We start from the raw sequence: 16,311 nt of genomic DNA, 5'->3' as shown, positions 1-16,311 counted from the left end.
TATAGGGCAGATTTTCCCAGCCTCGCTTACAGCCATAAGCAGGCTTCCCATGAAGACAATGCTTGAGGCTGCAGTGTTCCCATTGCCTCAGCACCACCGGAAGGAGCCCTAGGAATGTGGTCACATGTACATGTATTTTGTAAATTTTCCAAGAGAATGTATGAATCCATGTAAATCAGTTCAGGCCATCTCAAAATCTGCATTCAATCCAATCTATGGAAATGTCTCTATAATCTTTTTGAGACAGGGCCTCACTTCGTCACCCAGGCTAGAGTATACAGGGGCTCAATCACAGCTCACTGCAGCCTCCAACTCCTGGCCTCAGGTGATTCTCCCACCTCAGTCTCCTGTGTAGCTGAGGTACTACAGGAGTATGCCATCACACCCTGCCAATTTTTTGTATCTTTTGGAGAGAGATGGGGTTTTACCACATTGCCCAGGCTGGTCCTGAACTCCTGAGCTCAAGCAATCGCTTTGCCTCTGCCTCCCAAAGTGCTGGGATCATGGGTGAGCCAACATGACAGCCACGAGTATTTTTTTAATAGGCAATGAAAATCTTGAAATCCGTTTAGGATGAAGCCACCAGCATTAATACATAAAAAACAAATATGGTCAGGCTCAGGCCTGTAATCCCAGCATTTTGGGGCGGGTCACATGAGGCCAGGAGTTGGAGACCAGCCTGGCAGAACCATCTCTACTACAAATACAAAAATTAGCTAGGTGTGGCAGTGCACACCTGAAATCCCAGCTACGAAGGAGCCTGAGGCACAAGAATCGCTTGAACCCAGGAGGCAGAGGTTGCAGTGAACTGAGATCACGCCACTGTACTCCAGCCTGGGCAACAGGGAAAGACTGTCTCCCCAACCCCCTCCCCGGCAAAGACAAATATGGAGAACATCACATTTTTAAATACATACATACCTCTCCTCTCCCAGAACCTGTAGGCAAGCTGACAAGAGGGGCAATTAATGTCTCTCAATGTGGGGAAGGACCATCGCCTCTCCAGGGCTTCCAGGAATAGTTAACCTAAGTGACAGGAAGACTCTCAAAAATAAAAACCTAAGCTCTATAGAACTTACCTACGCAAATGGTAATAAAAGCAAGATCATCAGGGCCTCGGAAAAGTATTCCTGAGGTTACCAACTAAGTATGTGTAACCACTTACATCTATTTTCACAGCACACATGTTCTCCACACAGGAAGGAAGCTCAGGGAAATTCTGAAGTGAAAAGCAATATACACTATCTACAGTGGGCTTTAGAAGTACAACTCATGTCGAGACATGTATTTATTATTATGCTTTGATATGCAATCCCAGGTATTCTGATCTGGAGTAAAAAGCAAACTAAATGAAGACAACTTTTAGAAACTGATGTTTATTTTCCATCAACCATTTTTCCATGCTGCTTAAGAGCCTATGCAAGAACAGCTTAAGACCAGTCAGTGGTTGCTCCTACCCATTCAGTGGCCTGAGCAGTGGGAGCTGCAGACCAGTCTTCCGTGGCAGGCTGAGCGCTCCAGTCTTCTGTTAAGAGAATACCAAAAAAAGCCATCAGCTCTGTCCTCAATGTAGTATTTTTCCTTACCCCACTCCCAACAGCAGTCTATCAGATGCTGTAGCACACTGGAATGAAAACCTCTTAAAGCTAGTATAAAAGTCACAGAGATCATTAAAGTTAGAATAAAACTGAGAAGTTGCAAAATATCAGCTTGATTCACCTCTATCCTGATACATACCAGTAGGGAATTGCTGAATAGGCACAGAGGGCACCTGTACACCTTCAGACCAGTCTGCAACCTCAGGCTGAGTAGCAGTGAACTCAGGAGCGGGAGCAGTCCATTCACCCTGAAATTCCTCCTTGGTCACTGCCTTCTCAGCAGCAGCCTGCTCTTCTTTTTCAATCTGGGTTACAAAAAAAAAAGAGGAAAGACTTACAGGGACTGACAAGTTTTGCTTCCTAGAAGCACAGTCCAAGTCGTCCAATTTGCTTATGTAACCACAAGCCTTTGGAGAAGCTTACCTCTTCAGGATCTCTGTAGAAGTACAGATCAGGCATGACCTCCCATGGGTGTTCACGGGAAATGGTGCCACGCATGCGCAGAACTTCCCGAGCCAGCATCCACCACATCAAACCCACTGAGTGAGCTCCCTGCCAAGAGTGGCAGATTATTAAAAAGTGACACTTGGTCAAACCCAAACAGCAAGCACCTTCCTGGCTCTTACATCATCTAGGTACCAAAAGTACAGACATCTCTTAGTTGAAAAGCAATTGTAACAGGGAGCATTATAAATAGGGATTTTCAACCTTGTCTGCACACTGGAATCATAGGGATTGAAAAAAAAATGCCTGGACACTGGCATTTAAAAAAAATATCTGGGCAATTCTTATGCACAACTAGGGTTACAAATCAACCAATCTGAACCACACACAACCCACCTTTTTAGCATCTTATAGTAGAACCCATCAAGTTGGTGTGAAAACAAAGGCCAAGTGCCTGAGGCCTGAGCAAGAAACATGGACAAAGGCAGAAGAACACACTATTTTCCAAATGTTTTCATTTCTCCACAAAGCTGTCATGCAGTAATGTTATACTTGTAGCAAGAATTACTATCAAACTCCACTCATTGGGCCAGAGACCCTTGTGGTGTTAGCGAAAACTTGCCCCTCATGTAGCACACTACCTACACTTGCGAGTTCATCGGCCAGTCAGTAGCCTCAACTCCAAGCTCTAACAATGTGCACAGGAATGTTTTTTCTAGAGCACGCATTCACAAACTCTAGATCCTAAAATCATTACCTTGTTGTTGCATGGGATGGCAATGTCCACATAGCGCAGAGGAGAATCTGTGTTACACAGCGCAATGGTAGGTAGGTTAACATAAGATGCCTCCGTGAGAGGCTGGTGGTCAGCCCTGGGGTCAGTAACCACAAGAAGCCGTGGCTCCCGGAAGGCTGCCTGGATCTGGTTAGTGAAGGTTCCAGGAGTGAAGCGGCCAGCAATTGGAGTGGCTCCAGTGGCAGCAGCAAACTTCAGCACAGCCCTCTTTGAAGAATTTAAAAGTTAGTGGTACTCGATATTCCACAGCAACAATCCTGGCACCCAGTAAGCACTTCTGGGCACTGGCCAACTTAATCACTACTACTCCATGTAAAGCAGGCACATACCCAGCTTTCCTTAACCTCTCTTACTTCTCCAGAGATTTCCTGCATACATTAAAAAAGACAGGCTTGTTTTTCTACTATATATCCCGAGCACCTAGCAACACTACCTGGCCCAATCTAGATGCTCAGTATATTTTTCTCAAGCAAGCAAGAACTGTCACTCAGTTCATTCTACAGCAATAACTAACTGCCTTTTTTCTACTGTGTACCAAACTATGTGGTCCTAGTAACAAGTCAGTTTCAGGAATAACCCTCTGCAAAAACACACATGGGAACCCGTCCTGTCAACATTGAAATAAAGTCTTACTACATAATTTTTAAATCTGTCAAAATAGTTAAGATGAATAAAATCCCTGTTAGAACTCTTAGAATTCAAGAAATCTACTAGTTTTCTCAACAGAAAAATTATTAAAATAGAGCTGTGGCAAAAAAGATTCAAGTTTTACTAACTAGTCATTTCTTAAAAATACAAATTAAGGTATTTTTCATTCAAGTTGGCAGAGGTTCTCTTTGAGACAAGGCCTCACTCTGTCACTCAGGCTGGGATGCAGTGGACAGTCTTGGCTCCCTGCTGCCTCAACCTCCTGTGTTCTAGCAATCTTCCCACCTTAGCCTCAGCTGAGACTACAGGCACGCCAACACCACACCCAGCTCGTTTTTGTTAATTTTGGTAGAGACGGAGTTTTGCCACGTTGCCCACCCTGGTCTCGAACTTCTGGGCTCAAGCAAGCCACCAGCCTCAGCCTCACAAAGTACCCCATATTACAAAAGCATGAGCCACCCATGACTGGCTTTTTTAAGAAACAGGATCTCACTCTGTGCCCCAGGCTTGGAGTGCAGTGGCAAAATCATAACTTACTGCAGCCCCCAGCTCCTGGACTTGAGGGATCTCCTGGCTCAGACTCCCAATTAACGGGAACTATGGGTGCATGCCGTCATGACTGGCTAAGATTCTTAAAAAATTTCTGTCCCAGTATTTCATTGTTTTAAGGTAAAAACTTTGACTATGGGAAAATGTGATAAGCCACTTTAATAGAATTTCTAGATATTTAGTGGCACAAGTCTACACAAAATGAAATTATAAAGTTCAACATACTGCCAGATGCCCAGCATGTATGTTGAAAAGGTCTTACAGGCTGGGCGCAGTGGCTTACGCCTGTAATCCCAACACTTTGGGAGGCCGAGGTGGGAGGATCACTTGAGATCAGGCGTTTAAGACCAGCCTGGCCAAATGGTAAAACCATGTCTCTACTAAAAATACAAAAATCAGTCAGGCATGGTGGCACATGCCTGTAATTCCAGCTACTCGGGAGGATGAGGCAGGAGAATCCCTTGAGCTTAGGAGGCAAAGGCTGCAATGAGCCGATATCACACCACTGCAGTCCAGGATGGACAACAGGCAACAGAGCGAGAGACTGTCTTGAAGGAAAAAAAAAAAAAAAAAAAAAAAGGAAGGTCATAGGTCATAAGGGCGATTTCTATGGCTCAGTCCAACTTAAGATCTCTTAACAGTGGAGTTTGAGTTTTCTATTTTCTTTTTTTTTTTTTTTGAGACAGAGTCTCGGCTCTGTCACCCAGGCTGGAGTACAGTGGCGCATCTCAGCTCACTGCAAGCTCCGCCCACCGGGTTCACGCCATTCTCCACTTTGGCCTCCTGAGTAGCTGGGACTACAGGCACCCGCCCCCACGCCCAACTAATTTTTTGTATTTTTAGTAGAGATGGGGCTTCACCGTGGTGTGGATCTCCTGACCTCGTAATACGCCGGACTCCACCTCCCAAAGTGCTGGGATTACAGGCGTAGCCACCGCGCCCGGCCTGAGTTATTTCTGTTTTCTTATGTCTTTCTATGTCTCACAATGTCTGTAAGCTTTATTTCTATAATATAAAAACTAACCACTGTTCCACAAACCTGGCCAGTATTCCTGGAGGATATAACACTGACATCAGCAGGGTTTTCAATGGCAACAATTGCACGAGCTGCCAGCAGAAGCTTCTCCCAGGTCCTCTTGAGATTTATGATATAGATGCCTAAGTGAGGGCAGAAGGATTTGTAACACTTGACCTGGCTGTGCAAACATTCTTCTCAAGTTTACTCTATGTGGCAGCGAGTACTACCAAACTCCAGTCATAGAGGCAAGCTCTACTGGTGTTAGCGAAAATCCTGCCATTGATATAGCACACTTCCGACACTCAGAAGTTCATGAGCCAAGACTGGCCTCCACCCTGAGCTTTAATAGTGTGCAGCCTAGATTCAGTTGGCTAAATCCATCTTTCCTTTCTCTTTCCCTGTACTTATTCCATCATTGGTTCTTAATAATCCACTTCCTGGCTTTCTGCCACTCTTTCCCTTTTATAATCTGCACTGATGCAAGATTCATCCTAAAACTCCTTTACAGCATGTCACTCCCAAGTCCTTGGTAGCTTTATCTCTAAAATAAGTAAGTGCCTTAGCCAACTTAATGCCTTCCATCCTCTGGTTCTTCCAAACCATATTGTTCATTCCCACCTCTTACCCCACTTTCCACTCAAAATTCAGTTCAATAGCCTGTGTAAGTACCTATGAAGTTGAAGGCACTATGCGAGCTATTAGAAACTCAGCCAATGAACTTTCTCATGTTCATGACCCAACCCAAGTCCCGTAACTCAGACAACTGACATATTCCTCCCCTGGAGCAGAAATCTTTTCTCTCAATAACAAGAACATTTATTTAAAGTATGTTTTCAACGTAGGGGTCTGGCTTCATTTAAGGAAGATAGAAAGAAATTACCCAGAACTAACCACGAGAATAGCAAGCTCAAAATTTGTACTTACAGCTGGAGTAACAAAAAATTAAAGCAATGACTAACCATCACTTTTCCTTTTATAGATGTACTGTTCCATCTGGAAGTCAAGATTGGTGCCACCTAAGTGGGTTCCTGCTGCAAGGAACTTAAGGACATCCTCCTCCTTCATTTGCAGGACATCAAGGGCTCCGGACATTGTGAAAATTTCCCTTTAAGTTACGACGGGAATCTGAAATAAGAGAGCAACCTATTTCTTTTCATTCCATTGAGTTAAGTAGGGCACACCCTTAAAAGCAACCAAAAACTCCATCTGCTATAGTGTCAGGCATTGAGCTTACAGTGTAGTGAAGGGTAAACAGAAAGTTAACCCATACATGTCGTGTATTACGGAACAGCGCACATCTTACTGAGGAAATAGTGTGGACGGCAGAGTAACCGAGTAATAAAACTACACGAAATTAGCGAATGGAAATTCAACACTTCTCAAGATAGGAATTAAGGAAAAGTTGTGGATGCGCCAAGTTAACAACTAGATACAAAAGAGCAGCCATGTTTGGAATATGCAAACTAAAGGCAAAAAAGGCATGAATTGTTTTCAGACATTTTCAAGCAGATTGTAGGCGGATGCTTTGGAATTACTTCGCTGTGCTGTCACCACTTGTTTGTCTAAAAACCCGAGAACCTTAACTCCTGACCCGCACGGCGCGAAGGGAAAACCCGACCAGCCCAAGTAGCTGGTGTAAATCAGCGCCTGGGCCTAGACTCACCGCCGTGTGGGACTCCGAAGGGATAGCAACACAGGATGTTAGCCCGCTTTCTGCACTCCCGCCCACCCGCGGCCTGGTCCGAACCCCAGCTCGGAGCCTCCGCTGGAGGGCGGCCTCCACCCGCTCCCGGGGCACTCTGGGAACCCGCCAGCCCGAGCCTGGCCACGTGCGGGCCGCAGGCCTAAGGTGGGGCGCGCCGGGCGGGAGACAGATCCAGTCTGACCGGCTTTCATCACTAGTCTTCTCACCCTTCATTTGAGCAGGAAAAGCTCATTTTTCTAGCCCTGGAAGGCGCCAGGGACGCTACACGGAACTCACCCAGAACAACGCCGTATGGACCCCTCTGCAGGTAGCACGGAAAAGACAGGCGGCAGGAAATGACGTCCTTATGTACTCCGTTGTCAGCCAATGGCAAAGAAAGTCGAGCGGAAGAAGGGCGGAGCCGGAGAAGAACGCTGCCGGGACTGGGCTTTTTCTTCAGGAAGGCGGGCTTGCGCCGCAGGAGCGGGCCTCTGGGCTGTAGCCGGTAGCGGCATCCTGGTCGGATCTGGGGCGCTTGTGACTTTGGGGTTTCTAGTGCCACAGCGACGCCCTGTGCATAATTCCTGTCCAGAGCGCGGAACTCAAGTTAGTCAGCCAGGCGGGGCGTTCTTACCCAGCCCTTGTACCTGCGAATATGAGCGGCTTTCTAGCCTAAGCTGCCATTTTGTTACCTGAAAAGTAGGAAGGTTTGTTCGACACAACAAATTGTTAGGTAAACAAAAACTTGAAGATTTATTTTATTTTATTTTCCTGGAGAACAGTTTAACAGGACGTAATTCAGATTTAAATGTTCACTTAAGGGAAGTTTTCTCTGAAAAAGTTAAAAAAGATAAGATTGAACTGATCGTATGCGTTATGTCTATCTCATGTATCTATCCATCTATCACCTGGGGGAAGTTTCCCTGAAAAAGTTAAAAAGGACAAGATTGAACAGATGGTATGGATTATATCTATCTTTTTTTTTTTTTTTTTTTTGGTAGAAGAAAAATTTTGCAATATCCATCAGTAGGAGATAAGTTTGCCGGGCGCGGTGGCTTGTGCCTGTAATCCCAGCACTTTGGGAGGCCGAGGTGGGTGGATTGCCTGAGCTCAGAAGTTCAAGACTAGCCTGGGAAACATGGGGAGACCCCCATCTCCACAAAAAATACAAAAATTAACCAATCATGATGGTGCGTCCCTGTAGTCTCAGCTACTCAGGAGGCTGAGGCAGGAGGATAGCTTGAGCCTAGAGGTCAAGTCTGCAGTGAATGTGATTGCACCGCTGCACTCCAGCCTGGGCAATAGAGCGAAATTCTGTCTCCAAAAAACAAACAAAAAAATAGGAGTTAATTGAAGGGGCGCGGTGGCTGTAATCCCAGCACTTTCGGAGGCTGACGCGGGCGGATCCCTTGAGGCCAGGAGTTCAAGAGACCAGCCTGGCCAACATGGCGAAACCCGGTATCTACTAAAAATTCAAAAATTAGCCAGGCATGCCTGTAATCCCAGCTACTGGGGAGGCTGAGGCGGGAGAATTGCTTGAACCCAGGAGGCAGAGGTTGTAGTGAGTGGAGATTGCGCCACTTGCACTCCAGCCTGGGCGACAGAGTAAGACTCCGTCAAAAAAAAAAAAAGTGCAGGTTCCTCTCTGGGGCCTGCTGAGTCAATCTGATTTCTGAGCCCACCCTAAAATGAACTCGTAGACCCTTATGGCCACTCTTCCAAAGGACAGCACATCCAGGTTCTCCTGCAAGTGGCTCTGCAGCTCCACTGAAGCCAGTATGATTTTCTGAGGAGCTTGGAAACCCTTGGACCCTAGCACAGGTCACCCCCAGGCTGCTCTGCTTCATCACCCACCAAGGCTGAAGCACCTGGGGCTTGAGGGACAAATTCAGAGAAGTCACAGCCCCTTGCGGCAAATGCAAATGCCTCCCGCTTCTACGCTTTGTTATGGGAAGAGGAGGCATTCAGTTTGTTGGCAGAAACTCAGGCCACAAGCCTCCTCAGAGGCCCCTGAGTCCCAAAACAATGCCCTGCCCCCTGCACCCAAATGTACTCCTGCTTAACCCTTCACGTGTGGATTGGGATTGCTGAGTAGTGAGTGCAGCTCTGCAGGGTTCCTCCAGGGGCCTCAGCCTTGGCATTAGGATCACCTGGGCAGCTTTTAAAATCTTACACCTGGGCTGAATATATCAGAATCTCTGAGTGAGACCCAAGCATCAGTAGCTTTTAAAGCTCTTGTAGGGGCTTCCCCTCCACCCTCTGAGTGTTCACTGCTAAAATGAACTGACAATAGACAAATTAACAGGAGAAGAAACATACACTTTTTTTTTTTGAGACGGAGTTTTGCTCTTGTTGCCCAGGCTGGAGTGCAGTGGCTCAATCTCGGCTCAACGAAACCTCCACCTCTCGGGTTCAAGCAATTCTCCTGCCTCAGCCTCTCGAGTAGCTGGGATTATAGGCATGCGCCACCACACCCGGCTAATTTTGTATTTTTAGTAGAAATGGGGTTGCTCCATGTTGGTCAGGCTGGACTTGAACTCCTGACCTCAGGTTATCTGCCCACCTCGGCCTCCCAAAGTGCTGGGATTACAGGCGTGAGCCACCACACCAGGCCAAACATACACATTTATTAATGTGCTTATGCACAGGAGCCACACGAAATATAAGACTCAAAGAAGGGCCAGATGGCTGAAGCTTAAATAGCATCTACTTCACAGGGAAGGGAGATGGGATGGTAAACAATTTAGAGGGCTAGTAAGTGATTTTTGGAAGGATAGGAATGAGTTCAAAGAACAGAAAATTTGCCTGAGACAAAGTTCCTGTGAGCTCTGGGGGAAACAGCAGCAAAGGGTAAGGGGAGGAACTTCACTGTGACCAAAGGTTGCCTTATTAGGCAAATAATGTCTCCTGGAAAATCTCTCAAAAGCTGCCCTCAGAAAAATAGATGAAGAGTCTGTCTGGGCATGGTGATGACTTTTAGTCTTTTCTCTTCCCAGTGGTTAATATTTCCTGGTTACCTGATGAGATTCTTAGGGAGGAAGTTTTAAGACTATTGTATTTTATTCTGGAGGAACCTACCTTATTCAGATAAGGGAACTTCAGACAAAGCCCCTCCGGATGCTTTGGGAAAAGGGGATTGAGAGATGGGGTTAGGGGAAGGTCAGAAAGAAACCTTGGTTCTGACGCTATTTCAGAAGCCTTTCAATTTTCTTTAATTCAAAGCATGCAGCATGCCAAAGTGCCTTATTCAGTCAGGGGTATCATTTTCTGAGCCCCAACATTTTCCAGATGATTCCAATGTGCAGCCATATTGAGTTTAAAAACCACGATCCTAGACTCTAGAGTATTTCTTCTTTATTTTATGTAATTTTTTTTTTTTTGAGACAGTCTCATTCTGTCACCCAGGCTGGAGTGCAGTAGTGTGATCTCAGCTCACTGCAACCTCTGCTCCCAGGCTCAAGCAATTCTCCAGCTTCAGCCTCCCGAGTAGCTGGGACTACAGGCCCGCACCACCACATCTGGCCAGTTTTTGTATTTTTGGTAGAGACAGGGTTTTGCTTTGTCGGCCAGGCTGGTCTTGAACTCCTTACCTCAAGTGATCAGCCCGCCTCGGCCTCCCGAAGTGCTAGGATTACAGGCATGAGCCACTGCACCCGGCCTAGGGTATTTCCTGACTACCTAAGCTAATGGCTCCCAGGAGCAGAGAAGAACTTAGAAGCTAGTTCTACCTAGAGGCTGTTGCATTGAGGCACCTTTTTTTGGAGGGAGTGGTGACAAAAGCTGAAATTTAAGACACAGTGGATTGTTAAATTTTTTTTTCTTCTTCTTCTTTTTTTTGTTTTTTTTTTTGAGACAGAGTTGCTGTCTCCCAGGCTGGAGTGCAGTGGTGCAATTGCAACTCACTGCAACCTCTGCCTCCCAGATTCAAGCAATTCTTGTGCCTCAGCTACCCGAATAGCTGGGACTACAGGTGCACACCACTACATCTGGCTGATTTTTTGTAATTTTAGTAGAGACAGGGCTTTGCCATGTTGGCCAGGATGGTCTTGAACTCCTGACCTCAAGTGATCTCACTGGCCTTGGCCTCCCAAAGTGCTGGGATTATAGGTGTGACCCACTGTGCCCTGCTGCTTGTTAAATGTATTTATTTATTTTTTGAGACAGAGTCTCCCTCTGGTGTGCAATGGCATGATCTCAGCTCACTGCAACCTCTGCCTCCCAGGTTCAAACGATTCTCCTGCCTTGGCCTCCCAAGTAACTGGGATTACAGGCGCGTGCCACCATGCCCAGCTAATTTTTGTATTTTTAGTAGAGATAGGTTTTCACCATGTTGGTCAGGCTAGTCTCGAACTCCTGACCTTGTGATCTGCCCGCCTCAGCCTCCCGAAGGGCTGGGATTATAGGCATAAGCCACCGTGCCCAGCCTGGTTGTTACATTTAATATCAACAATAAGTTAGAAGGCCAGGCGTGATGACACACACCTGTAATCCCAGCACTTTGGGAGGCTGAGGTGGGCAGATCCCTTGAGCCCAGGAGTTCGAGACTAGCCTGGGCAACATGGCGAAACCCTGTCTCTACTAAAAATACAAAAATATTAGCTGGGTGTGGTAATGCATGCCTGTAGTCCCAGCTACTTGGGAGGCTGAGGTGGGAGGATTGCTTGAGCCTGGGAGGTCGAGGCTGCAGTGAGCTGAGAGCAGTGAGCTGAGATTGCCAGTGTACTCCAGCCTGTGGAATAGAGTGAGACCCTGTCTCAAAAAAACAAAAAACCCAACAAGTTATAAATGCACTGCTCAGCCAGAAGTATATGGAAGGGGCATAAGGCATAACCTTGGTGAGCAGGTTTCAGTTTTGCAACCTCCCAGAGTCAGTGCTGGGTTCCCTGTCTTGATTGGGCCCTCAGAACTGACTCACTCTAACCTTGGTTTGCCTCAAAATTATTTATCCTTTCTAACTGCTGGTTAAAGAAATTTCAGCCTCTCCTCATTTCTCTTGGGAGGAAGTAACTGAATGAAGTGAATAGAACGTTTCATTTGCACTCACTCATTTGCTAAGTGAGAGACCCTCGTATGCCTTTTCAGACTTTCTACCACTTAGAATCTATAGCTCTGGTCTTTCCTTTGCCTAAGAAATTGGATAGACCTAAATGTAATCAAGCCATCCAAGGTAACATCCAGTTTATAGAACATGTGTGAAACAGAAATGAGCTAAAACCATCAGAAAACAAATTCAGAAAATGGGACATTTTACAGGATACTGGGGCTGAGGATGTGTTACCTCAAAGACTAGCCCTTTGATATGCCAAGAGAGGCCTTAGACACTGCTTCAGAATCAAGTTTCCTCTAACTTTGTCTTGTTCCCCCGTCCCCTCAGTCCCTACAAAGACAATGTAGAACAAAAAAATTGGGGAGAATGGTGGTGTCCTGGAATAAAGAGGTTTTTTTTTGAGACAGGGCTTTGCTCTGTCACCTGGGCTGGAGTGCAGTGGCCTGATCACGGCTCACTGCAGCCTTGACTTTCAGGGCTTAAGTGATTCTCCTGCCTCAGCCTTCTGAGTAGCTGGGACTACAGATGTGCCTCACCACACCTGGCAAATTTTTAAATTTTTCTGTAGAGACAGAGTTTGACTATGTTGCCTAGGCTGGTCTCAAACTACTGGGCTCAAGCGATCTATCAGCCTTGGCTTTCCAAAGGGCTGGGCCTACAGGCATGAGCCACTGTGCCCAGCCTAGAGATTTTCAAAACCAACTGCCGGCAAAGTGTGGTGGCTCATACCTGTAATCCCAATCCTTTGGGAGGCTGAGGCTGGAGGATCACTTGAGGCTAGGAGTTTGAGACCAGCCTGGGCAACATTGCGAGATCTTGTCTCTGCAAAAAAATTTTTTAAAAACTGGCTGGGTGTGGTGGCGTGCACCTGTAGTCCCAGCTACTTGGGAGGCTGAGGTGGGAGGATGGCTTGAGCCTAGAAGTTCAAGGTTGCAGTGAACCATGATCATACCACTGCACTGCATCCTGGGTGACGAGCAAGACCTTGTTTCTAAAACATCAATAAAAGACCAAATGCCTTGTATGGACCTTGTTTGAATTCTAATTGAAATAAACCAACTGTAAAAAATCATTGTTGGGACAGTCTGGGAAATGTGAATATGGATGATATGCAAAAAATGTGTTAAATTTTTCCAGGTGGGGTAATGACATACTTATGTTAAAAAAAAGTCCATAATTTTTAAGAGATGCATATTGAAGTAAGCAAGGGTGAAATTATATGATGTCTGGGATCTGTCTCTAAAAGCTTCATAAAAGAAAAAGGAGGCCAGGCGTGGTGGCTCACACCTGTAATCCCAGCACTTTGAGAGGCCGAGGCAGGTGGATCACGAGGTCAGGAGATCGAGACCATCCTGGCTAACACAGTGAAACCCCATCTCTACTAAAAATAAAAAAAAATTACCCAGTCGTGGTGGCTGGCGCCTGTAGTCCCAGCTACTCGGGAAGCTGAGGCAGAAGAATGGCGTGAACCCAGGAGGCAGAGCTTGCAGTGAGCCGAGACTGCGCTACTGCACTCCAGCCTGGGTGACAGAGCGAGACTCCGTCTCAAAAAAAAAAAAAAGAAAAAAAAAAGAAAAAGGAGTGGCAGGAGCAGGGGACACAGTTAGGGGAGAGAAGCAAGTGTGGCAAAATCTTGGCAATTGCTCCATCTGAGCGATATGAATGAAGGGCCAGTAGACCATTGGCTTTCCTATTGTGATGGCTTGAAAGATTTCATAATCATGTATTCTTAGAAAGTGAGTGTAATACAGCTTGAAACCTTTGCTTCTGTGTCTTCTTTTGGCTTTAGCCCTACACTGCCTTATCTTTAGTCACCATCTGACTATTTTTCTCCCACAGAGCCCCACCTCTAATGTGCTTTAATAAGTCTAAGGCAGCCAAGAAGGAACCATTTAAAAAAAAAAAAAGGCCAATGTGGTGGCTCACACCTGTAATCCCAGCACTTTGGGAGGCCAAGGCGGATGGATCATGAGGTCAGGAGTTCGAGACCAGCCTGGCCAAGATGGTGAAACCTCGTTTCTACTAAAAAATACAAAAATTAGCCGGGCGCGGTGGCAGGTACCTGTAATCCCAGCTATTTGGGAGGCTGAGGCAGGAGAATCGCTTGAACCCGGGAGGCGGAGGTTGCAGCGAGCCAAGATCATACCACTGCACTCTAGCCTGGGCAACAGAGCAAGACTCTGTCTCAAAAAAAAAAAAAAGTGGGCAATGCTTCCAAAGCCAGCTAACGCTCACTAGCCAATTGCTTTCCAAGCTTTAATACTGAGACTGTGAGAGAGGAAAAAACAGGCTACTTGCCGCAGGACTCGAGATTCACAAAGACAAATTTTCTACCTCATGTTTAGAGAAAACTAGATGATTTCTCCTGATTTTATCATATTTATTTGCTCCCCTAAAAAACAAATGAAGAAAATGTGAGGGGGAATCTGGTGGCAGAAATTCATCTGCCAATGTGAGGCCAGGAAATTCGCATTGGGAAGAAGCCCAACTCTCTCGGCCTTATCTCTGCCCCTCCTCCCTAAGAGTCCTCACTGGCATTAGGTTCCCTGCACTCAGGATGAGGGTCAAAGGAGGCTGAGGAGGCAAGGGACATGGAACACCTACTCCAGAGTCTAAGTTCTTAGGAAGCAGCCACTCCATCCAACTGTCCCTCCCTTCTCTCCTTTCCCATCCTGACCTCTCCCCTGCTTCCTACAGCACGAGGCCTCACAACACACAGGTCACAGCATTGGAGGCTTGGGTGCCACTGTAAGCTTAGGACCCTGCTTCATCCTCTCCCACACCCCTACCCAAATTACTATTTTAAATATGGTGTTTTAACCTAAAGCCTAAAGTATAAACTGATTTTAACTTATACATCAGCTTAATCTGTGTTGTGGGTTGAATTGTGTCCCCCCAAAAGATATATTGGCGTTCTAACCCCTAATACCTGCGAATGTGACCCTATTTGGAAATAGGGTCTAACATAGAGAGAAACAGATACACAAGGGAAAAGGCATGTGAAGACAGGCAGAGATTAGAGTGATGTTTTTACAAGCCAAGGAATGCTAGCCACCACTAGAAGGTGCAACAGACAAAGCATGACTCTCCTAGAGCCTTCAGAGGTGCAATGCTGCTGACACATTGATTTCAGACTTCTGGCCTCCAGATTGAGTTATAAACCATTCTGACTGTGGTAACTTGTTGTGGCTGTCCTATGAAGCTAATACCACATTTCAGAAACATTTATTAATTAACCCTCACCACCACCTGAAGAGGCAGGAAACATTACTAACCCTATTTCCGGCTGGGGGCGCTGGCTCACACCCGTAATCCCAGCACTCTGGGAGGCTGAGGCAGGTGGATCACTTGAGATCAAGAGTTCAAGACAAGCCTGGCCAGCATGGTGAAACCCTGTCTCTACTAAAAATACAAAAAATTAGCCCAGCGTGTAGTCCCAGCTACTTGGAAGGCTGAGGTGGGAGAATTGCTTGAACCCAGGAGTGGAGGTTGCAGTCAGCTGAGATTGCACGATTGCACTCCAGCCTGGGCAACAGGGCGACACTTTGTTCTCCGCCCCCTAAAAAACCCCCAAAACAAACTAACCCCATTTCCTAGGCATAGTTTCAGTGCCATGCCTAGGTAGTGGAGAGCAAGCAGCTTTCAACCTGGGCTGCCTGGATTAGAGCCCATGTTCTTAACCACAAGACTAAATATCCCCCCAACTTGTGCTTCTTGTATAAAGTAATGGCTGTTTCCTGATTTTTTTTTTTCTGATATGGAGTCTCATTCTGTCATCCAGACTGGAGGGCAGTGGTGTGATCTGCAACCTGCATCTCCTGGGTTCAAGTGGTTCTCCTGCCTCAGCCTCCTGAGTAGCTAGAATTACAGGCGTGCCCCACGATGCCTGGCTAATTTTTGTATTTTTAGTAGAGATGGGGTTTTGCTGTTTTGGCCAGGCTGATCTTGAACTCCTGGCCTCAAGTAATCTGCCTGCCTCACCCTCCCAAAATGCTGGAATTACAGGCAGGAGCCACCTTGCCTGGCCATCTTTCCTGAATTTTCAAGAAAAGATTTGAGTGCACAATAAGAATAGCTATAAAAGAGATAATAACAAGTGTTGACAAGGATGTGGAGAAATTGGAACTCTCATATACTGTGGCTGAGAATGGAAAATGGTATAGTCACTTTGTTTTTTTGTTTTTTGAGACAGGGTCTCACTCTGTCACCCAGGCTGGAGTGCAGTGGCATGATTTCAGCTCACTTTAACCTCTGCCTCCTCGGTTCAAGTGATTCTCGTGCCTCAGCCTCCCAAGTAGCTGGGATTACAGGCACATGCCACCACGCCCAGCTAATGTTTGTATTTTTAGTAGAGACGGGGTTTCACCATGTTGGCCAGGCTGCTCTTGAACTCCTGACCTCATGTGATCCACCCGCTTCGGTCTCCCAAAGTGCTGGGGTTACAGGCTTGAGCCACCGCACCCGGCCTACAGACTGCATTTATATGAAGTATCCAGAAAAGGCAAATTTATGAAGACAGAAAGCCTA

The 16,311-nt window shown here is 46.3% G+C and overlaps 1 protein-coding gene and 2 non-coding genes across 4 annotated transcripts, besides 6 other annotated features; all 3 read right to left on the bottom strand.

Moving 5' to 3' along the window:
• Nucleotides 1,257–7,079, bottom strand: RPSA (ribosomal protein SA). 2 transcript variants are annotated; one of them, NM_001304288.2, is made up of 7 exons: nucleotides 7,035–7,079; nucleotides 6,013–6,178; nucleotides 5,060–5,193; nucleotides 2,800–3,045; nucleotides 2,022–2,150; nucleotides 1,738–1,903; nucleotides 1,257–1,525 (listed from the first exon to the last, which is right to left on the bottom strand). In NM_001304288.2, exons 2-7 carry the CDS (start codon nucleotides 6,143–6,145, stop codon nucleotides 1,431–1,433), a joined length of 903 nt encoding a protein of 300 aa, NP_001291217.1. In that variant the 5' UTR covers nucleotides 6,146–6,178; nucleotides 7,035–7,079; the 3' UTR covers nucleotides 1,257–1,430. The 2 variants fall into 2 exon arrangements, with proteins under 2 accessions (NP_001291217.1, NP_002286.2); NM_002295.6 differs by having other exon boundaries at nucleotides 5,075–5,193.
• On the bottom strand, nucleotides 2,592–2,745 carry SNORA62 (small nucleolar RNA, H/ACA box 62). The gene has a single exon (NR_002324.1). It is a non-coding gene; the product is annotated as a small nucleolar RNA, H/ACA box 62 (small nucleolar RNA).
• Nucleotides 4,190–4,981: an enhancer, noted in NCBI's record as "H3K27ac-H3K4me1 hESC enhancer chr3:39450309-39451100 (GRCh37/hg19 assembly coordinates)". NCBI's record gives its function as "activates a minimal SCP1, AML or CMV promoter by ChIP-STARR-seq in naive H9 embryonic stem cells {active_cell/tissue: H9 hESC(naive)}" and the evidence as "EXISTENCE:reporter gene assay evidence [ECO:0000049][PMID:30033119]".
• Nucleotides 5,251–5,300: a silencer, noted in NCBI's record as "silent region_14228". NCBI's record gives its function as "represses an Ori minimal core promoter by ATAC-STARR-seq in GM12878 lymphoblastoid cells {active_cell/tissue: GM12878}" and the evidence as "EXISTENCE:reporter gene assay evidence [ECO:0000049][PMID:35858748]".
• On the bottom strand, nucleotides 5,260–5,408 carry SNORA6 (small nucleolar RNA, H/ACA box 6). The gene has a single exon (NR_002325.1). It is a non-coding gene; the product is annotated as a small nucleolar RNA, H/ACA box 6 (small nucleolar RNA).
• Nucleotides 6,567–7,358: an enhancer, noted in NCBI's record as "H3K27ac hESC enhancer chr3:39447932-39448723 (GRCh37/hg19 assembly coordinates)". NCBI's record gives its function as "activates a minimal SCP1, AML or CMV promoter by ChIP-STARR-seq in primed H9 embryonic stem cells {active_cell/tissue: H9 hESC(primed)}" and the evidence as "EXISTENCE:reporter gene assay evidence [ECO:0000049][PMID:30033119]".
• Nucleotides 6,696–6,875: a silencer, noted in NCBI's record as "silent region_14227". NCBI's record gives its function as "represses an Ori minimal core promoter by ATAC-STARR-seq in GM12878 lymphoblastoid cells {active_cell/tissue: GM12878}" and the evidence as "EXISTENCE:reporter gene assay evidence [ECO:0000049][PMID:35858748]".
• Nucleotides 7,046–7,185: an enhancer, noted in NCBI's record as "active region_19708". NCBI's record gives its function as "activates an Ori minimal core promoter by ATAC-STARR-seq in GM12878 lymphoblastoid cells {active_cell/tissue: GM12878}" and the evidence as "EXISTENCE:reporter gene assay evidence [ECO:0000049][PMID:35858748]".
• Nucleotides 8,944–9,736: an enhancer, noted in NCBI's record as "NANOG-H3K27ac hESC enhancer chr3:39445554-39446346 (GRCh37/hg19 assembly coordinates)". NCBI's record gives its function as "activates a minimal SCP1, AML or CMV promoter by ChIP-STARR-seq in primed H9 embryonic stem cells {active_cell/tissue: H9 hESC(primed)}" and the evidence as "EXISTENCE:reporter gene assay evidence [ECO:0000049][PMID:30033119]".

Source organism: Homo sapiens, chromosome 3, assembly GCF_000001405.40.
Source record: "Homo sapiens chromosome 3, GRCh38.p14 Primary Assembly".
Classification (NCBI taxonomy): Eukaryota; Metazoa; Chordata; class Mammalia; order Primates; family Hominidae; genus Homo; species Homo sapiens.
This window is presented reverse-complemented; position numbering and strand designations above follow the sequence as displayed.

Excerpts from the sequence above, each read along its gene's own strand:
- RPSA (NM_001304288.2), bottom strand. The coding sequence starts at position 6,145 with ATGTCCGGAGCCCTTGATGTCCTGCAAATGAAGGAGGAGGATGTCCTT. Across the intron at positions 5,194-6,012 it reads CTATAAAAGGAAAAGTGATG|GCATCTATATCATAAATCTC; the intron begins GTTAGTCATTGC and ends GCCCTCACTTAG. Across the intron at positions 1,904-2,021 it reads TCTACAGAGATCCTGAAGAG|ATTGAAAAAGAAGAGCAGGC; the intron begins GTAAGCTTCTCC and ends TTTGTAACCCAG.